This window comes from Homo sapiens, chromosome X, assembly GCF_000001405.40.
Source record: "Homo sapiens chromosome X, GRCh38.p14 Primary Assembly".
NCBI lineage: Eukaryota > Metazoa > Chordata > Mammalia > Primates > Hominidae > Homo > Homo sapiens.
The window spans coordinates 57465008-57488121 of record NC_000023.11 but is presented as its reverse complement, the minus strand read 5'-3'; the positions used below and the strand labels follow the sequence as shown (position 1 = coordinate 57488121).

The following is a 23114-nucleotide window of genomic DNA, read 5'->3' as shown; positions in this document are numbered from 1 at the left end:
TCTATTCCCCCAATCCCCAGTATCCAGTAATTAAATTTTTATCCATATAGATTTCCTATTCTGAACACTTTCTAGAAATTGAATTATATAATATGTAACATTTTTTGTCTGATTTCTTCCACTCTGCACAATGTTTTCAAGGTTTATATAAATGGTTCTTTTATGGACAAAGACTATTCCATTGAATAAATATACCAAATTTTGATTATCTATTCACCAGTTACTGGACAGTTGGACTAATACTTTTGGCTATTACTAATTATGCTGCAAAAATCAGCAATATAATTACACATTTGTTTATGTCTTTGTATGAATATTTATTTTCATTTCTTGAGCATATATATACATATAAAGATGAATGAAATAGTTGAGTCTTATGACAAATTTACATTTAACATTTTAAGAAAATGCCAAATTGTTTTCCAAAGAGTCTGCACCAATGTGACAACAGTCTTACCAGAAATGTATGAGGGTCCCAGTTACTCCACATGCTCATTAACCCTTATCCTTTTGGTTTATAACTATTTTAGTGAATGTGCATTGATAACTCCTTGTGATTTTAATATGCATTTCCCTAATGAGTAATTATATTGACCATTCTCTCACGCACTTATGGGCAATTAGTATGTTTTCTTTAGGGAAATATCTATTGAAATCCATTGTGCATTTTAAGTTGGGTTATCGTCTTATTATTGAGTTGTAAGAGTTTTTCATATGTTTGGAATATAAATCCCCAGGCGTTATATAATTTGCAAATATTCTCCCCTGGTCAGTGTCTTTCCTTTTTACTTTATTGTTATATTTTGAAATATAGTTTTTTTTTTTAATTTTGGCAAATTCTAATTTATCATGCTTTCTTTTATTGCCTGGGCTTTTGAAGCTGTATCTAGGAAACCTTTTATCTCAAGGTCATGAAGATGTACTCATGTTTCCTTATAAAAATATTAGAGTTTTAGCTTTTACATTTAGGTCTCCTATTTATTTTACATTAGTTTTTGTATACGGTGGGTGTGTGGAAAGGCTCCAACTTTATTCTTTTGCACGTAGATATCCAGTTGTCCTAGAACCATTTGATGAAAAGACTATTAATTCTTCATTGAACTGTCTTGAAACCTCCTTTATTAAAAGTAAATTGAGAGGAAAGTAAAGAGAGTGATGTCAGCAAGATAACGGAATAGGAGGAGTTCTGCAGTTCCAGTCCCCGTCACATAAATCCAACTACTAACTATCCGCAGATAAGAATACTTTCATGAATATCCCTGAATTTGGGAGATAGCCCCTCCAGCCACAGAACAGATAACAGCTGCATTCAAAGGGTAAGAGGAATGGTTTCATTTCGCATCACCCTCTCTCAAGCTGTAACAGTGCCAAAGAAGATTCCCCTGGGCTCTTGTTTCTGTAGGGGAAAAGAGAGCTGTAAACATATATCCAGCTTCCTCATCATTGTGGGGTGCTTTACAGGAAGCTCACTCTTGTCTCATTCCATGACAAACATTGGGAGTACCAGCAGAGCTAGGGCACCTGAGATTTGTTAGAAACAAAGAAAAAGGGTGGGGTTCACAATGATGAGCACATGGATTTTGGCAGTGGCTCTTCACTTTTGTCAATGAAGGTGCCAAATGATAGAAAACAGCCAACAGGACTGCCCTGCAGGAACCATAGTGCATGAGTTTGCTTAGCTGAAGTCCCTAGCCAGCTTCCTTATGTAATGTCATTTCTCTCCTTGAGCCTTTTCCAGGCTGGGAGGCAACTGTAGAGCATCTGGCCCCACCCAACCCCACTGACTGTATGACAATCCCACTAACACTTAATATTCTCTTTAAGGCTTCCTCAGGCCAGAAGGCAAGTGCTGATCCATGAATATCTGTGAAAGGAAGTACCTAATGTGTCTTGTCCCAGGTGGCTGAACAGTAACCCCAGAGACCTCCTCGAGCCTAAGAGCACCAGCACATGGCCCTGACTGACTACAGATTCCAAACAGCAGTACTGTTTTACTGGGGAAGGCAGCATGCAATGCAATCTGATCAGAGGTGATTGCAAAGGATAGCCATCAGCACTGCCAAATTAAAACCCAGCTAGTTGTCTCATCAGACTACAAAGCACAGCTCACCATTCCACTCAACCTCAAACTATAGGCAGCAGCTCACCCCAGCTAGAGAACCCAAGAGCAAGGTCAGCTGTCCAGGGTTGCTATCAGTTGGTCCACCAAAAATCCCAGGTTAGAATAAATACTGAAAGATTATCATTGCCAAAGAACACCTACAAAGGCTGAAAGAGGTGGCCATGTACCCAAACACATAGGCACCAAAACAAGAACACAAAAATTACAAATAATTTTTTAAAATCACAAAATAAACTAATAAACCTCTAATTATGGACCCTGAATAAATAGAGATCTATGAAATGACTGATAATGAATTCAGAAGTAGTTAAGGAATGTTATAAGTAGAATTATTTAAGGAAAGGTAAGGTAGTTAAAGAAAGTATAAGAAAAAATAATGAAGAAGGTCTGAGAATTATGGGACGCTATCAAAATAACCAATGTTTAAGTAACAGAAGTTATGCCATCCCTCCTTCCCCTGGGCTAGGGAGGAAATGGGAAAGCTAGGCACTTCTGCAGCCTTCAGCACAGATACCACAGCTGAAGTACAAAGAAGCAACAGGTTTGCTGCATGCCACACAACTCCCCACTTATACTGCTTCACACCAAATGGGGTTTGCAGGCTCCAGGTCACCAGTGCACCTTCCCCTGCCCCTGCTTGAAGACTGTGGCCATGGCTTGGCATTTCTTTGATAGCCCAAATCCCACAGATTGCTGCCAACCATTTTGCAGCCACCACTGCCACTAACTTTGCCCCTGACACCTCTGGGCCAGGGAGAGAGTAGGGAGGCCTGGCACCTACCTGTGCATGCCTCCCACAACAAAATCCAACACTGCATCTGTAGGAGGAAAGTGTGGGTGTAACACGTGCCTCACAGCTCCCACTTTCCATTTTTCCAACTTTGGGGACTTGCCCTACCCAATGAAAGGTCCACATCATGGCTGGCTTGCCCCCAACTGAATATTTCAGCTGCAGCCCAGAGCCTCTTGGAGAGCCCAATAACCACAGGCCAGTTATCCACCCTCAGGTTCCCACCACCTGACTGGTCTGCCTGACCTGCCTGAGAGTTCAGCCAGTGACCCAGGGACCAACCCAACTCTCCCCATTACACAGACAGCACTGAACTCTGGGCTGGCTCAACCCAGGTCCAGCCCCTTCAGGACTCGTAAATGTCATCCAATTGGCCATCTAGGGGCCTGGAGACTGGTGAGCTACCTAGCCCAGTCTAACACAGCTAGTACCTATCCAGTCCTCCTGGCACCTGAGGTCAGACTAACCTAACTAGCTTACACCACCACAAATGACACTCACCACATGGGCTGAAAGGCAGACCTCTCACTTCCACGAAGCAGCAACACTAATATGTCAAAGAAGATGTGAGCCATAAAGCTGTCTGTATTTGGGTTGAGTGAGTAAATATATTCTGCTTCAAAAACACCTCCATGGAGAGTTGCAAGAGAGGCATTCTCCCTGGCTCTCAGACACACTGTGGCCTGGAGAGACAACAACGTGCATCTGAAGTGTACATGATGAGCCCTACAACAAGGGCGTGAAAAGGGAACAGATTGTGTTCCTGCCTATTTACGACATGAAGGCAGTGCATCCCCCTCACTTCCAGCAGAGGCCTAAGTGTTTGTACCAGGAGTTCCCCCAGCCACCCCTATCAAGACTAGTGCCTGTAGTCATCATTGGAGTATTTGTGGGCAAGCCAAAGGGTCCAAATCAGATCAGGTGTGTCTCCCCAGCCACAGTTAAGAAGCAAGCTCAGGGCATAGGGAACACCACGATCTAGCTCATTACCTGAAACAACAGAGATGAAATACCCATCTTCTTGTGCCACATCTGTGTCTTACCCTTAAGTGCTACCCCCTGGCCAGCAGGTCAAAGTGAAAAGCGCAATAAAAAAGTTGCCAGTGGCTGGGCGCAGTGGCTCATGTCTGTAATCCCAGCACTTTGGGAGGCCGAGGCGGGTGGATCACTTGAGGTCAGGAGTTCGAGACCAGCCTGACCAACATGGAGAAATCCCGTCTCTACTAAAAATACAAAATTAGCTGGGTGTGGTGGCACATGCCCATGCCTGTAATCCCAGCTACTTGGGAGGCTGAGGCAGGAGAATCGCTTGAACTCGGGAGGTGGAGCTTGTGGTGAGCTGAGATTTATTGTGCGCCATTGCATTCTGGCCTGGGAAATAAGAGCGAAACTCCGTCTCAAAAAAAAAAAAAAAAAAAAAAAAAAAAAAAAGTTGCCCCCAGTGCACAGGAAATAGGAGCAGAGCCAAGGACTCTACCCAGAATACTACACAGTAACATTCTCAGGAGGGAGGAAGAAAAAATAGGGAAAGAAAAATACCATCTGAACAAAAATAAATTTCAAAAGTAAGTGACAATACCTCCAGATGAGAAGAACTCGGCATAAGAAATCTGGCACCATGAAAAAGCTGAATGTTGTGATATCAACAAGAGTCAAACTAGCTTTCTAGCAATGGACCTTAACCAAAATGGAAACTCAGAAATGACAGATAAAGAATTCAAACTGTGGATTGTCAGGATGCTCCACAAGATCCAAGACAAGACTGAAAACCAACCAAAAAGAAAATATGAGGGCAATTCAGGATATGAAGGAAGAGATAAATATATTTTTTTAAAAAATCAAACAGGACTTCTGGAAATGAAAAATTCACTTAAGGAATTTCAAAATAAAGTTGAACACTTTAATAATAGACTAGACCAAGTAGAAGAAAGAATTTCAGAGATTGAAGATCAGTCTCTCAAACTAAACTGGTCAGACAAAAATAAAGAAAAAAATAATTTTAAAAAATGGAACAAAGTCTTTGTGAAATATGGGATTATGTAAAGCAACAAAACCTATAACATATTGGCATTTCTAAGAGAGAGGAAGAAAAACATAAACAACCTTGAAAACATACGTGAGGAAATAATTCAGGAACATTTTGCTAATCTTGCTAGAAAGATATCCACATACAAGAAACTCAGAGAACACCTGTGAGATATTATTTAAAATAAACATTATGAAGGTATATAGTGATCAGACTATCTAAAGTAAATAATAAAGAAGAAAACATTAAAGATAGGTAGAGAAAAGGATCAAAGCACCTATAAAACAAAACCAATCAGGCTAAGAGTGGACTTCTCTGCAAAAATCCCAAAACTCAGAAGAGACTGGGGGCTATTTTAACTCCTTTAAAAAATAAAAACCTGCAGCCAAAAATTTTATATCCTGCCAAACTCTTTCATAAATGAAGGAGAAATAAAATATTTCCCAGACAAGCAAAAAAAAAAAAAAAAAAAAATTGAGGGAATGAAGCCAAGATGGCCGAATACAAGCAGATCTGGTCTGCAGCTCCCATTGAGACCAACGCAGAAGGTGGATGATTTCTGAATTTTCAACTGAGGTACCCAGTTCATCTCGTAGGGACTGGTTAGGCAGTGGGTCCAACCCACAGGAGGGTGAGCAGAAGCAGGGTGGGGCATTGCCTCACCCAGGAAGTACAGGAAGTTGGGGGACCTCCCTCTCCCAGCCAAAGGAAGCTATGAAGGACTGCGCTACCCAGCTAGGTTACTATGCTTTTCCCATGGTTTTCACAATCTGCAGATCAGAAGATTCCCTTGTGTACCTACACCACCGGGGCCCTGAGTTTCAAGCACAAAACTGGGTGGCTGTTTTGACACTGAGATAGCTGCAGGCATATTTTTGTCATATCCCAGTGGCACCTGGAACCCCAGTGACACCTGGAACCTGAGTGAGACACAACTGTTCACTCTCCTGGAAAGGGGTCTGAAGCCAGGGAGCCTAGTGTTGTTGCTCAGCAGGTCCCACTGCCAGGGAGTCCAGCAAGCTAAGAACCACTGGCTTGAAATTCATGCAGCCAGCACAACAGTCTGAGGTTAACCTGGGACAATTGAGCTTGGTGGGGGGAGGGGCATTCACCATTACTGAGGATTTGGTAGGCAGTTTTCCCCTGAAAGCACTGAGGAGGCTGGGAGGTCTGGGCTGGGCACAGCAAAGTGGCTGTGGCCAGACTGAATCCCTAGATTCTTCCTCAGTGGGTAGGGCATCCCTGAAGGAAAGGTAACAGCCCCAGTCGGGTGCTTACAGACAAAACTACCATCTCCCTGGGACAGAGCATCTGGGGGAAGGGGTAGCTGTGGGAGCAGCTTCAGCGGATTTCATCATTCTGGCCTGCTGGCTCTGAAGAGAACAACTAATCCTGACAAGAGGGATTCTCCCAGCACAGTGCACCAGCTCTGCCAAGGGACCGAATGCCACCTCAGCTGGGTCCCTGACCTTGTGCATCCGACTGGGAGAGACCTCCCAACAGGGGTCGAAGGACACTTCATACAAGACAGCTCCAGCTGGCATCAGGTTGGTGCCCCTCTGGGACAAAGCTTCCAGAGGAAGGAGCAGGCAGCAATATTTGCTGTTCTACAGCCTCCACTGGTGATACCCAGGAGAACAGGGTCTGGATTGGACGTCCAGCAACCGCAGCAGACCTGCAGAAGAGAGGCCTGACTGTTAGAAGAAAAACTAATAAACAGAAAGCAACAACATCGACATCAACATAAAGAACCCCACACAAAAACCCCATCCAAGGTTATCAGCTTTAAAGATCAAAGGTAAATAAATACATGAAGATGAGGAAAAAAAACAGCACAAAAGCACTGAAAATTCCAAAAACCAGAAAGCCTCTTCTCCAAAAGATTGCAACTCCTCTCCAGCAAGGGCACAAAACTGGATAGAGAATGAGATTGACAAATTGACAGAAGTAGGCTTCAGTATGTAGGTAATAACAAACTCCTCTGAGCTAAATGAGCATGTTCTAACCCAAGGCAAGGAACCTAAAAACCTTGATAAAAGGTTACAGGAAATGCTAACTTAAATAACCAACTTAGAGAGGAATATAAATGACATGATGGAGCTGAAAAAAAGCATGAGAACTTCGTGAAGCATACAAAAGTAACAATAGCCAAATAGATCAAGTGGAAGAAAGGATATCAGAGATTGAAAATCACCTTACTGAAATAAGGCAAGATTACAAGATTAGAAAAAAAAAAGAGTGAAAAGGAAAAAAAAACAAAGCCTCCAAGAAATATGGGACTATGTGAAAATAACAAACCTACGATCGACTGGGGTCCCTGAGGGTGATGGGGAGAATGGAATCAAGTTAGACAGCACACTTCAGGATATTATCCAGGAAAATTCCCCAACCTAGCAAGACAGGCCAACATTCAAATTCAGGAAATACAGAAAACACCATTAAGATACTCCTCAAGAAGAGCAACCCCAAGACACCTAATCGCCAGATTCTCCAATATTGAAATGAAGGAAAAAATGTTAACAGCAGCCAAAAAGAAAGGTCAGGTTACCTACAAAGGGAAGCCGAACAGACCAATAATGGATTAATCTGCAGAAACCCTACAAGCCTAAAGACAGTGGGGGCAAACATTCAACTTTCTTAAAGAAAATCGTTTCCAAACCAAAATTTCACATCCAAACAAACTAAGCTTCATAAGGGAAGGAGAAATAAAATCTTTCAAAGACAAACAAATACTGAGAAACTTTGTCACCACCAAACCAGCCTTAAAAGAGCACCTGAAGGTTTTCGACGTGCTGCTGGATTCGGTTTGCCAGTGTTTTATTAAGGATTTTTGCATCAATGTTCATCGAGGATATTGGTCTAAAATTCTATTTTTTGGTTGTGTCTTTGCCCGGCTTTGGTATCAAGATGATGCTGGCCCCATAAAATGAGTTAGGAAGGATTCTCTCTTTTTCTATTGATAGGAATAGTTTCAGAAGGAATGGTACCAGTTCCTCCCTGTACCTCTGGTAGAATTCGGCTGTGAAACCATCTGGTCCAGGACTCTTTTTGGTTGGTAAGCTATTGATTATTGCCACAATTTCAGAGCCTGTTATTGGTCTATTCAGAGAGTCAACTTCTTCCTGGTTTAGTCTTGGGAGGGTGTATGTGTCGAGGAATTTATCCATTTCTTCTAGATTTTCTAGTTTATTTGCATAGCGGTGTTTGTAGTATTCTCTGATGGTAGTTTGTATTCCTGTGGGATTGGTGGTGATATCTCCTTTATCATTTTTTATTGCGTCTATTTGATTCTTCTCTCTTTTCTTCTTTATTAGTCTTGCTAGTGGTCTATCAATTAAAACTTATCCACCATGATCAAGTGGGTTTCATCCCTGGGATGCAAGGCTGGTTCAGTATACGAAAATCAATAAATAAACAGAACCAAGACAAAAACCACATGATTATCTCAATAGATGCAGAAAAGGCCTTTGACAAAATTCAACACCTCTTCATGCTAAAAACTCTCAATAAATTAGGTATTGATGGGACGTATCTCAAAATAATAAGAGCTATCTATGACAAACCCACAGCCAATATACTAAATAGGCAAAAACTGGAAGCATTCCCTTTGAAAACTGGCACAAGACAGGGATGCCCTCTCTCACCACTCCTACTCAACATAGTGTTGGAAGTTCTGGCCAGGGAAATTAGGCAGGGGAAGGAAAAAAAGGGCATTCAATTAGGAAACGAGGAAGTCAAATTGTCCCTGTTTGCAGATGACATGATTGTATATCTAGAAAACCCCATTGTCTCAGCCCAAAATCTCCTTAAGCTGATAAGCAACTTCAGCAAAGTCTCAAGATACAAAAATCAACGTACAAAAATCACAAGCATTCTTATATACCAATAACAGACAAACAGAGAGCCAAATCATGAGTGAACTCCCATTCACAATTGCTTCAAAGAGAATAAAATACCTAAGAATCCAACTTACAAGGGACGTGAAGGACCTCTTCAAGGAGAACTACAAACCACTGCTCAATGAAATAAAAGAGGATACAAAAAAATGGAAGAACAATCCATACTCATTGGTAGGAAGAATCAATATCGTGAAAATGGCCAAACTGCCCAAGGTCATTTATACATTCATTGCCATCCCCATCAAGCTACCAATGTCTTTCTTCACAGAATTGGGAAAAACTACTTTAAAGTTCATATGGAACCAAAAAAGAGCCCACATTGCCAAGTCAATCCTAAGCCAAAAGAACAAAGCTGGAGGCATCATGCTACCTGACTTCAAACTATACTACAAGGCTACAGTAACCAAAACAGCATGGTATTGGTACCAAAACAGAGATATACATCAATGGAACAGAACAGAGTCCTCAGAAATAATGCCACATATCTACCACTATCTGATCTTTGACAAACCTGAGAAAAGCAAGAAATATGGAAAGGATTCCCTATTTAATAAATGGTGCTGGGAAAACTGGCTAGCCATATGTAGAAAACTGAAACTGGATCCCTTCCTTACACCTTATACAAAAATTAATTCAAGATGGATTAAAGACTTAAACGTTACACCTAAAACCATAAAAACCCTAGAAGAAAACCTAGGCATTACCATTCAGGACATAGGCATGTGCAAGGACATCATGTCTAAAACACCAAAAGCAATTACAACAAAAGCCAAAATTGACAAATGGGATCTAATTAAACTAAAGAGCTTCTTTAGCAAAAGAAACTGCAATCAGAGTGAACAGGCAACCTACAAAATGGGAGAAAATTTTCACAACCTACTCATCTGACAAAGGGCTAATATCCAGAATCTACAATGAACTCAAACAAATTTACAAGAAAAAAACAAACAACCCCATCAAAAAGTGGGCAAAGGACATGAACAGACACTTCTCAAAAGAAGACATTTATGAAGCCAAAAAACACATGAAAAAATGCTCACCATTACTGGCCATCAGAGAAATGCATATCAAAACCACAATGAGATACCATCTCATACCAGTTCGAATGGCAATCATTAAAAAGTCAGGAAACAACAGGTGCTGGAGAGGATGTGGGGAAATAGGAACACTTTCACACTGTTGGTGGGACTATAAACTAGTTCTACTATTGTGGAAGACAGTGTGGTGATTCCTCATGGATCTAGAACTAGAAATAGCATTTGACTCAGCCATCCCATTACTGGGTATATACCCAAAGGATTATAAATCATGCTGCTGTAAAGACACACGCACATGTATGTTTATTGTGGCACTATTCACAGTAGCAAAGACTTGGAACCAACCCAAATGTCCAACAATGATAGACTGCATTAAGAAAATGTGGCACACATACACCATGGAATACTATGCAGCCATCAAAAGGATGAGTTCATGTCCTTTGTAGGGACACGGATGAAGCTGGAAACCATCATTCTCAACAAACTATTGGAAGGACAGAAAACCAAACCCTGCATGTTCTCACTCATAGGTGGGAATGGAACAATGAGAACACTTGGGCACAGGAAGGGAAACATCTTACACCGGGGCCTGTTGTGGGGTTGGGGGAGCGGGGAGGGATAGCATTAGGAGATATACCTAATGCAAATGACGAGTTAATGGGTGCAGCACACCAACATGGCAAATGTATACATGTGTAACAAACCTGCACATTGTGCACATGCACCCTAGAACTTAAAGTATAATAATATATATAAAAAGAAAATTTAGAACATAGCAATAAACAAAAGAAAGTATAAATCAAAACAAAAACAGCCACAGTAAATGTTTTAGTTTATAGTAGTCCAGATTTTTTTCTACTAAGTAAATATATGATTATTAAAAGCTGTACCCATTACAGCTTAATATCCTGCTTTGTTGATGAAATAATTTTTCATGAATATGTAGCAGTGTAATTATATTATTGTGTCTTTTAAGCCAATACTATAACATAAATAACATATTATTAAAAATTAAAAAACAAATAACTAAGATCAGAGCAGAACTGAAAGAGATTGAGACATGAAAAACCCTTCAAAAAAATCAATGACTCCAGGAACAGGTTTTTTGAAAAGATTAACAAAATAAATAGATCACTATATAGACTAATAATGAAAAAAATAGAGAACAAACAAATAGACATAATAAAAAATGATAAAGGCGATATCACCACTGATTCCACAGAAATACAAATTACCATCAGAGAATACTGTAAACACCTCTATGCAAATAAACTAGAAAACACAGAGGAAATGGATAAATTCCTGGACACATACACCCTCTGAAGACTAAACCAGGAAGAATTAGAAACCCTGAATAGACCAATAACAAATTCTGAAATTGAGGCAGTAATTAAAAAAAAAAAAGTCCAAGAACATCAATTTAAAAAGCCCAGGACCAGACAGATTCACAGTCAAATTCTACCATATATACAAAGAGGAGCTGGTACCATTCCTTCTGAAACTATTCCAAACAATAGAATAAGAAGGCCTCCTCCTTAATGCATCTTATGAGGCCAGCATCTTCCTGATAACAAAACCTGGAAGAGACACAACAAAAAAGGAAAATTTCAGGCCACCATCTCTGATGTACATCAATGTGAAAATCCTCAATAAAATACTGGCAAAACGGACTCAGCAGCACATCAAAAAGCTTATAAACCATGATCAAGTCGGCTTCATCCCTGGGATGCAAGGCTGGTTCAATATATGAAAATCAAAACGTAATCCATCAGATAAACAGAACCAGTGACAAAATCCACATGATAGATGCAGAAAGGGCCTTTGATAAAATTCAACACCCTTTCATGCTAAAAGCTCTCAATAAACTAGGTATTGATGGAACACATCTCAAAATAATAAGAGCTATTTATGACAAACTTATAGCCGATATCATACTGAATGGGTAAAAGCTGGAAGCATTCCCTTTGAAACCCAGCAGAAGACAAGGATGCCCTCTCTCACCACTCCTATTCAACACAGTATTGGAAGTTCTGGCCAGGGAAATCAGGCAAGAAAAATAAATAAAGGGTATTCAAGTAGAAAAAGAGGAAGTCAAATTGTCTCTGTTTGCAGATGACGTTATTGTATATTTAGAAAACTTAATTGTCTCAGCTCAAAAACTCCTTAAGTTGCTGATAAGCAACTTCAGCAAAGTCTCAGGATACAAAATCGATGTACAAAAATCCCAAGCATTCCTATACACAAACAATAGACAAGCAGACAGCCAAATCATGATTGAACTCCCATTCACAATTGCTACAAAGAGAATAAAATACCTAGGAATACAACTTCCATTAGACGTGAAAGACCTCTTCAAGGAGAACTACAAAACACTGCTCAAGGAAATAAGAAAGGACATAAACAAATGGAAAAACAATTCAAGCTCATGGATAGGAAGAATCAATATCCTGAAAATGGCCATATTGCCCAAAGTAATTCATAGATTCAATGCTATTCCCATCAAGCTATCATTGACTTTCTTCACAGAATTAAAAATAACTACTTTAAATTTCATATGGAACCAGAAAAGAGCCCATTTAGCTACGGCAATCCTAAGCAAAAAGAACAAAGCTGGAGGAATCATGCTACCTGACTTAAAACTATACTACAAGGGTACAGTAACCAAAACAGCATGGCACTGGTATCAAAACAGATATATAGATCAATGGAACAGAACAGAGACCTCAGAAATAACACCACACAGCTACAACCATCTGATCTTCAATAAACCTGACAAAAACAAGCAATGGGGAAAGACGCACTATTTAATAAATGATGCTGAAAAAACTGGCTAGCCATATGCAGAAAACAGAAACTGAATCCCTTCCTTACATTTTATACAAAAATTAACTTAGTATGAATTAAAGGCTTAAATGTAAAACCCAAAACCATAAAAACCCAGAAGAAACCCTAGGCAATACCATTCTGGACATAGGCATGGGCAAATACTTCATGAATAAAACACCAAGAGCAATTGCAACAAAAGCTGAAGTTGACAAATGCAATCTAATCAAATTAAATAGCTTCTTCTCAGCAAAAGAAATTAGCATCAGAGTGAACAGATAACCTACAAAATGGAAAAAAAGATTTGCATGCTACCGATCTGACAAAGGTCTAATATCCACAATCTACAGGGAATTTAAATTTTCAAGAAAGATACAAAAAATCCCATCAAAAATTGGGTGAAGGATATGAACAGACACTTCTCAAAAGAAGACATTTATACGGCCAGCAGATATATGAAAAAATGCTCCTTATCACTGGTCATTAGAAAAACACAAATCAAAACCACAATGAGATACCATCTCACGCCAGTTAGAATGGCGATTATTAACAAACCAGGAAACAACAGATGCTGGTGTGCCTGTGGAGGAATAGAAATGCTTTTACACTTTTAAATTAGTTCAATGATTGTGGAAGACAATGTGGCAATTCCTCAATGATCTAGAACCAGAAATACCATTTGACCCAGAAATCCCATTACTGCATATATACCTGAAGGATTATAAATCATTCTACTATAAAGACACATGCACACATATGTTTATTGCAGCATTATTTACAATAGCAAAGACTTGGAACTAACCCAAATGTCAATCAGTGATAGACTAGGTAAAGAAAACATGGCACATATATATCATGGAATACTATGCAGCCATAAAAAAGAACAAGCTCTTGTCTTTTTCAGGAACATGGATGAAGCTGGCAGCCATAATTCTCAGCAAACTAACACAGGAACATAAAACCAAATACCACATGTTCTCACTCATAAGTGGGAGTTGAACAATGAGAACACATGGACACAGGGAGGGGAAAATCACACACTGAGGCCTGTTGGGGGCGGGGGACAAGGGGAGGGAGAGCATTTGGACAAATACCTAATAAATGCAGGGCTTAAAGCCTAAATGATGGGCGGATAGGTGCAGGAAACCACCATGGCACATGTATACCTATGTAACAAAGATGCATATTCTACACGTGTATCCCAGAAGTTAATGTAAAATTTTAAAAAAATCACCACTAGATTGGACATACAAAAAATGCTTAAATGAATTGTAAACATGAAAACAAATGGAAGATACTCACTGTCAGACAAAGACACATAAGTACAAAGTTCACAGATCACACAAAGCAATTACACAATGGAAACTCCAAAATAACTAACACTATTGTAATAGGAAGAAAACCTCACATATCAATATTAATCTTGCATGTAAATGGCATAAATACTCCACTTAAAGGATACAGAGTCACAAAATAAGACCCAACCATCTGCAGTCTACAAGAGACCCACCTACTGGCCAAAGGCACAATGAGACTCAAAGTAAAACGGTGGAAAAAGATACACCATGCAAATGAAAAACAAAAGCAAGCAGGAATAACCACTTTCATATCAGATAAAACAGACTTTAGATCAACAATGGTACTAAAATATAAATAAGGTCATTATATATTAAGAAAAGCTCCAATAAAAGAAGATTTATTTATTTAAATTATATATGCAACAGACACTGGAACATCCAGATTTATAAAAAATATACTTCTAGACCTAAGAAAATAGATTGATAGCAACATATCAATAGTGGGACTTTAACACCCCACTGATATCACTAGACAGATAATCAAGGCAGAAAATCAACAAGATTTAACTGGATTATAGATCAAATGGACGTAGTAGTCATTTACACTATAGCATACACAACAACCACAGAATATACATTCTGCTCACTTGTGCATGGAACATTCTCCAAAATTGAACATATGCTTGGCCAGAAAGCAAGTCTCAACGCATTCAAAAAGGTAAAATAATATCAAGTCTCTTCTCAGACCACAGTGGAATAAATTTAGAAAGCAATAACAAGAAAATCTCTCAAAACTATGCTAATACATGGAAACTAAACAACTTATTCTTAAATAATTTTTGGGTGAACAATGAAATTAAGGCAGAAATTTAAAAAAAATTGAAGTGTATAAAAACAGACACAATATAACAAAACATCTAAAACACAGCAAAAAAGTGCTAAAACGAAAGTTTATAGCATTAAATGCCTACATGAAAAGGAGAGAGAGCTCTAAAATTAACAAACTAATTCACACCTTAAGGAAATATAAAAACATGAACAAACCAAATCCAAAGCTAGCAGAAGAAAAGAAATAACATGGCCAGGATTAACTAAATAGGATTGAGACCACAAAAAGCTAAAAAGGATTAATGAAAGAAAATTTAGTTCTTTGAAAGCATTAGAAAAAAACTTGACAGACCCCTAGCAGGACTAATGAAAAAACAAAAAAGAAGCAGAGAAGATTCAAATAAGCACAATCAGAAATGATGAAGGTGATATTACAACTTATGCCATAGAAATACCAAAGACAATCAGGGACTAATATGGACAATTCTATGCACACAAACTAGAAAATCTAGAGAAAATTGATAGTTTCCTGGAAACATACAACTTCTCAAGATTGAACTAGCAAGAAATAGAAAACCTGAACAGACCACAAACAAGTAAAAAAAAAAATCTAGTCAGTAATACAAATCTTCCAACAAAGAGATCTAATCACTAATCTAATCAGTAATACAAATCTTCCAACAAACAAAAGAACAGGAACAGACAGATTCACAGTCAGGTTTTGCCAGATGTACAGAAAAGATCTGGTGTCATCCTACTGAGGCTATTCCAAAAAATCAAAGTGTAGGAATACCTCTCTAAATCATTGTACAAATCCAGTATCTCCACGATATTAAAAACATGAAAGAACACAAGAACAACAAAAAAACTACAGGACACTTGTTGATGGAGTTGTTTCTTTCTTGTAAATTTGTTTGAGCTCTTTGTAGATTCTGCATATTAGCCCTTTGTCAGATGAGTAGATTGCAAAAATTTTCTCCCATTTTGTAGGTTGCCTGTTCACTCTGATGGTAGTTTCTTTGGCTGTGCAGAAGCGCCTTAGTATAATTAGATTCCATTTGTCAATTGTGGCTTTTGTTGCCATTGCTTTTGGTGTTTTAGACATGAAGTCCTTGCCCATGCCTATGTCTTGAATGGTATTGCCTAGGTTTTCTTCTAAGCTTTCTATCATTTTAGGTCTAACATTTAAGTCTCTAATCCAACTTGAATTAATTTTTGTATAAGGTGTAAGGAAGGGATCCAGTTTCAGCTTTCTACATATGGCTAGCCAGTTTTCCCAGCACCACCTGTTAAATAGGGAATCCTTTCCTCATTTCTTGTTTTTGTCAGGTTTGTCAAAGATCAGATGGTTGTAGATGTGTGGTATTATTTCTGAGTGCTCTGTTCTGTTCCATTGGTCTGTATCTATGTTTTGGTACCAGCACCATGCTGTTTTGGTTACTGTAGCCTTGTAGTATAGTTTGAAGTCAGGTAGTGTGATGCCTCCAGCTTTGTTCTTTTGGCTTAGGGTTGACTTGGCAATGCGGGCTCTTTTTTGGTTTCATATGAACTTTAAAGTAGTTTTTTCCAATTCTGTGAAGAAAGTCATTTGTAGGTTGATGGGAATGGCATTGAATCTATAAATTACCTTGGGCAGTATGGCCATTTTCACGATATTGATTCTTCCTATCCATAAGCATGGAATGTTCTTCCATTTATGTGCATCCTCTTTTATTTCGTTGAGCAGTGGTTTGTAGTTCTCCTTGAAGAGGTCCTTCACATCCCTTGTAAGTTGGATTCCTAGGTATTTTATTCTCTTTGAAGCAATTGTGAATGGGAGCTCACTCATGATTTGGTTCTCTATCTGTTATGGGTGTATAAGAATGATTGTGATTTTTGCACATTGATGTTGTATCCTGAGACTTTGCTGAAGTTGCTTATCAGCTTAAGGAGATTTTGGGTTGAGACAATGGGGATTTCTAGATTTACAATCTTGTCATCTGCAAACAGGGACAATTTGACTTCCTCTTTTCCTAATTGAATACCCTTTATTCCTTTCTCTTGCCTCATTGCCCTGGCCATAACTTCCAACACTATGTTGAATAGGAATGGTGAGAGAGGTCATCCCTGTCTTGTGCCAGTTTCCAAAGGGAATGCTTCCAGTTTTTTCTCATTCAGTATGATATTGGCTGTGAGTTTGTTATAAATAGTTCTTATTATTTTGAGATACATTCCATCAATATCTGATTTATTGAGAGTTTTTACCATGAAGGGCTGTTGAATATTGTTGAAGCCCTTTTCTGCATCTATTGAGAAAATCATGTGTTTTTTGTCTTTGGTTCTGTTTAGATGCTGGATTACGTTTATTGATTTGCGTGTGTTGAAGCAGCCTTGCATCCCAGGGATGAAGCCCACTTGATCATGGTGGATAAGCTTTTTTATGTGCTGCTGGATTCGGTTTGCCAGTATTTTATTGAGGATTTTTGCATCAATGTTCATCAGGGATATTGGTCTAAAATTCTTTTTTGGTTGTGTCTCTGCCAGGCTTTGGTATTAGGATGATGCTGGCCTCATAAAATGAGTTAGGGAGGATTCGCTCTTTTTCTATCGATTGGAATAGTTTCAGAAGTAATGGTACCAGCTCCTCCTTGTACCTCTGGTAGAATTTGGCTGCGAGTCCATCTGCTCCTGGACTTCTTTTGGTTGGTAGGCTATTAATTATTGCCTCAATTTCAGAGCCTGTTTTTGGTCTATTCAGGGATTCATGTTCTTCCTGGTTTAGTCTTAGGGGGTGTATGTGTCCAGAAATTTATCCATTTCTTCTAGATTTTCTAGTTTATTTGCATAGAGGTGCTTATAGTATTCTCTGATGGTAGTTTGTATTTCTGTGGGATTGGTGTTGATATCCGCTTTATCATTTTTTATTGTGTCTATTTGATTCTTCTCTTTTCTTCTTTATTAGTCTTGCTAGTAGTCTATCAATTTTGTTGATCTTTTCAAAAAACCAGCTCCTGGATTCGTTGATATTTTGAAGGGTTTTTTGTGTCTCTATCTCCTTCAGTTTTTCTCTGATCTGAGTTATTTCTCTCCTTCTGCTAGCTTTTGAATGTGTTCGCTCTTGCTCCTATAGTTCTTTTAATTGTGATATTAGGGTGTCAAATTTCGATCTTTCCTGCTTTCTCTTGTGGGCATTTAGTGCTATAAATTTCCCTCTACACACTGCTTTAAATGTGTCCCAGAGATTCTGGTGTTTTGTGTCTTTGTTCTCATTGGTTTTGAAGAACATCTTTATTTCTGCCTTCATTTCATTATGTACCCAGTAGTCATTCAGGAGGAGGTTCTTCAGTTTCCATGTAGCTGAGTGGTTTTGAGTGAGTTTATTAATCCTGAGTTCTAGTTTGATTGCACTGTGATCTAAGAGACAGTTTGTTATAATTTCTGTTCTTTTACATTTGCTGAGGAGTGCTTTACTTCCAACTATGTGGTTAATTTTGGAATAGGTGAGGTGTGGTGCTGCGAAGAATGTATATTCTGTTGATTTGGGGTGAAGACTTCTGTGGATGTCTATTAGGTCCGCTTGGTGCAGAGCTGAGTTCAATTACTGGATATCCTTGTTAACTTTCTGTCTCACTGATCTGTCTAATGTTGACAGTGGGGTGTTAAAGTCTCCCATTATTATTGTGTTGGAGTGTAATTCTCTTTGTAGGTCTCTCAGGACTTGCTTTATGAATCTGGGTGCTCCTGTATTGGGTGCAGATGTATTTAGGATAGTTAGCTCTTCTTATTGAATTGATCACTTTTTTATTATGTAATGGCCTTCTTTGTCTCTTTTGATGTTTGTTGGTTTAAAGTGTGTTTCATCAGAGATCAGGATTGCAACCCCTGCCTTTTTTTGTTTTCCATTTGCTTGGTAGATCTTCCTCCATCCCTTTATTTTGAGCCAATGTGTGTCTCTGCATGTGAGATGGGTCTCCTGAATACAGCACACTGATGGGTCTTGACTCTCTATCCAATTTGTCAGTCTGTGTCTTTTAATAGGAGCGTTTAGCCCATTGACATTTAAGGTTAATATTGGTATGTGTGAATTTGATCCTTTCATTATGATGTTAGCTGGTTATTTTGCTCGTTAGTTGATGCAGTTTCTTCCTAGCTTTGAAGGTCTTTACAATTTGGCATGTTTTTGCAGTGGCTGTTACCAGTTGTTCCTTTCCATGTTTAGTGCTTCCTTCAGGAGCTCTTGTAGGTCAGGCCTAGTAGTGATAAAATCTCTCAGCATTTGTTTGTCTGTAAAGGATTTAATTTCTCCTTCACTTATGAAGCTTAGTTTGGCTGGATATGAAATTCTGGGTTGAAAATTCTTTTCTTTAAGAATGTTGAAAATTGGCCCCCACTCTCTTCTGGTTTGTAGAGTTTCTGCTGAGAGATCCGCTGTTAGTCTGATGGGCTTTCTTTTGTGGGTAACCCAACCTTTCTCTCTGGCTGCCCTTAATATTTTTTCCTTCATTTCAACATTGGTGAATCTGACAATTATGTGTCTTGGAGTTGCTCATCTCGAGGAGTATCTTTGCAGCATTCTCTGTATTTCCTGGATCTGAATGTTGGCCTACCTTGCTAGATTGGGGAAGTTCTCCTGGATAATATCCTGTAGAGTGTTTTCCAACTTGGTTCCATTCTCCCCGTCAGTTTCAGGTACACCAGTCAGACGTAGATTTGGTCTTTTCACATAGTCCCATATTTCTTGGATGCTTTCTTCATTTCTTTTTACTATTTTTTTCTGTAAACTTCTGTTCTCACTTCATTTCATTCATTTGATCTTCAATCACTGATACCCTTTCTTCCGTTTGATCAAATCAGCTAGTGAAGCTTGTGCATTCATCACGTCATTCTCATGCCATGGTTTTCAGCTCCATCAGGTCATTTAAGGACTTCTCTACACTGGTTATTCTAGTTAGCCATTCATCTAATCTTTTTTCAACGTTTTTAACTTCTTTGCATTGGGTTCGAACTTGCTCCTTTAGCTCAGAGAAGTTTGATCATCTGAAGCCTTCTTCTCTCAACTCGTCAAAGTCATTCTCCATCCAGCTTTGTTCCATTGCTGTTGAGGAGCTGCGTTCCTTTGGAGGGGGAGAGGTGCTCTGATTTTTAGAATTTTCAGATTTTCTGCCCTGTTTTTTCACCATCTTTGTGGTTTTATCTAGTTTTTGTCTTGATTATGGTGACCAACAGATGGATTTTTGGTGTGGATGTCCTTTCTTTTTGTTAGTTTTCCTTCTAACAGCGTAGACCATCAGCTGCAGGATTGTTTGAGTTTGCTGGAGGTCCACTCCAGACCCTGTTTGCCTTGGTATCAGCAACGAAAGCTGTGGAACAACGAATATTGCTGAACAGCAAATGTTGCTGCCTGATCATTCCTCTGGAAGCTTCATCTCAGAGGGGTACCCAGCTGTGTGAGGTGTCAGTCTGCCCCTACTGGGGGGTGTCTCTCAGTTAGGCTACTTGGAGGTCAGGGACCCACTTGAGGAGGCAGTCTGTCCGTTTTCAGATCTCAAACTGTGCTGGGAGAACCACTACTCTCTTCAGAGCTGTCAGACAGGGACATTTAAGTCTGCAGAGGTTTCTGCTGCCTTTTGTTTGGCTATGCCCTGCCCCCAGAGGTGGAGTCTACAGAGTCAGGCAGGCCTCCTTGAGCTGTGGTGGGCTCCACCCAGTTCAAGATTCCTGGCTGCTTTGTTTACCTACTCAAGCCTCAGCAATGTTGTGCACCTCTCCTCCAGCCTCGCTGTCACCTTGCAGTTTGATCTCAGACTGCTATGCTAGCAATGAGTGTGGCTCCATGGGTGTAGGACCCTCTGAGCCAGGTGCAGGATATAATCTCCTGGTGTGCCCTTTGCTAAGACCATTGGAAAAGTGCAGTATTATGGTGGGAGTGACCCGATTTTCAAGGTGCCTTCTGTCACCCCTTTCTTTGACTAGGAAAGGGAATTCCCTGACCCCTTGCACTTCCTGGGAGAGGCGATGCCTTGCCCTGCTTTGGCTCACTCTCATTGCACTGCACCCGCTGTCCTGCACCCACTGTCCAACACTCCCCAGTGAGATGCATCTGGTACCTCAGTTGGAAATGCAGAAGTCACCCATCTTCTGCGTCGCTCATGCTGGGAGCTGTGGACTGGAGCTGTTCCTATTTGGCCATCTTGGAACCCAAATCAACTTATTTAATAATAGATTGAAACTTGTTTGGAAAGTCTATCTTAATTATGTGGTGAGGGTAACAAAAATCATCATCATCAGCAACAAAAACAACAGCAGCAAAACCACCTCTGGAGAGCTTGTTTTTGAGACCTCTATAAGCCAAGATTCCTTGTACAAATCTTGATTATTAAAGCTCAAGATTCAGCATGGTCTGTGTATGTGATTAGGGCTCATAGGCATCTTGCATTATGAAATCAATCCTACATCCACAATGGTTGCCTACAATGTATTTATTTCACACCCTTAATGCTTGTCTGCATTCTTAGACTGTCACTGCCCTATACCTTTTGCCTTTCAATAGAAGCCTTGTGTATATACTCTGTGGAGACTGCTGAGTGCTTTCCAATATCTCAAGTGGGGAAAATAATAGATAGGAAATATCTTTTCCCATCCTTTTAGTTTCAATCTATTTGAATCTTAATTGTGTCCTTTGTATATAGCATACTGTTGATCCTTGATTTTTTGCATCCAGCCTGGCATGTTTGCCGTTTGATTGGAGTGTTTGTTCCATTCAAATTTAATGTTATTACTGAAATTGTTGTATTTATATACCTGATTTGCTACATGTTTTCTATATGCCTCGTTTTTTCTGTTCCTCTTTTACATACTTTTGTTATATATATATATATACTTTTCCAGTATATTATTTTAATTAAGATATATATACACATATATATACTTTTCCAGTATATTATTTTAATTAGTTTTGAGTTGTTAGGCTATATTTTGAGGTATTTTTAGTGACTGATTTATGGATTAAAACAGCCATCTTAACTCTTCAGAATCTATTAACTAATTTACAGTAAAATACAAAAAGTTTGCAGCAAAATAGCTGCATTCTCTAATCCTTTTCTGTGTTATTATAGTTATGTATACTATGTGTGTGTGGGTATATATATATATATATATATATAGAGAGAGAGAGAGAGAGAGAGAGAGAGATAATCCAACAATACAGTGCTATAGCTTTCACTTTATATAATGTATGTATGTGTTTTTATGTGTGCGTGTGTATGAAAGAAGACAAGAAAAAAGAGGAAAGTACATTTGTAGAGTCTTTTGCATTAACCTGCTTACCATTTCCAGTAGTCTTCATTCCATTTTTGGATTTCAGTTATGGTTGAGTGTCATTTTCTTGTTACAATATAGCTTTATTCCTTCTCCATTCCTTTGTGCTATTGCTGTCATATATATTACATTTATATATAATTCAAAACATACCATTTAATAATTGTTTTGGGTATTATTTTTAAAAGCAAGAGAAGAAATAATAATAAATTTGTAATTATTATGTCTTTTGTAATTACCTTCACCAGAGCTCCTTGATTTTTCATATGACTTTGAATTATTGTCTGGTGTCACTTTCTTTCACCAAGACAAACTCCCTGTAGTATTTCTTGTAAAGATGATCTCCTAGCAACACAATTCTCTTTCAGTTTTAGTTTATCTGCAAAGGTTTTTATTTTGTCTTAACATTTGAAAGATTCTGTGAATTATAAGAGTATTGGTTGGCTGTCTTTTATTATTTTAAAAATATCATCTCACTGTTTTCTGGCTTCCTTGTTTCTGATAACTCATCCATCACTGTTATTGTGGTTTCCTTCTAGTTGATGGGTAGGTTATTTTTCTTTGCTACTTTTGAATTTTTCATTTATTTAGGGTGGATATCTTTGCATTTGTCCTACTTAGAGTTTGTTAACTTCATCACATTTTCAGATATAATGTCCTCAAACTTTTTTTGATTCATCTTTTCTTACTCATCTCCCGTTCTGGAATTCTCCATATGCATATATTAGTATGCTTGATGGGTATCACAATGGTCCCTGAGACTGTTTATTTTTATTCTTTTGCTTTTCTCTCTGTTCATTAGATTAAATTATGCCAACTGATCTATCATTAAGCCTGCTGATTCTTTCCTCTTTATTCTTCCATTTAAAACATAATGTTGAGCTCCTCTAGTGAATTTTAATTTTAATTAATTTTCAACTTCAAAATTTCTATTTGCTTTTTCTTTCAAATAACTTTCATCTCTTCAATGATAGTCTCTATTTAATAAAATACTG

At 38.7% G+C, this 23114-nt stretch overlaps 1 protein-coding gene across 10 annotated transcripts in view; it reads right to left on the bottom strand.

Moving 5' to 3' along the window:
* FAAH2 (fatty acid amide hydrolase 2) overlaps positions 1 to 23114 on the bottom strand; it is a 367606-nt gene that overhangs the window by 1075 nt on the left and 343417 nt on the right. The window contains exon 11 of one of the 10 annotated variants that reach the window (NR_148557.2): positions 6408 to 6613. The exons of the other annotated variants lie outside the window; for them this stretch is intronic. The gene's annotated coding sequence lies outside the window, so the exon portion shown is untranslated. The remainder of the gene's footprint in view (positions 1 to 6407; positions 6614 to 23114) is intronic. 10 annotated transcript variants of the gene reach the window in all.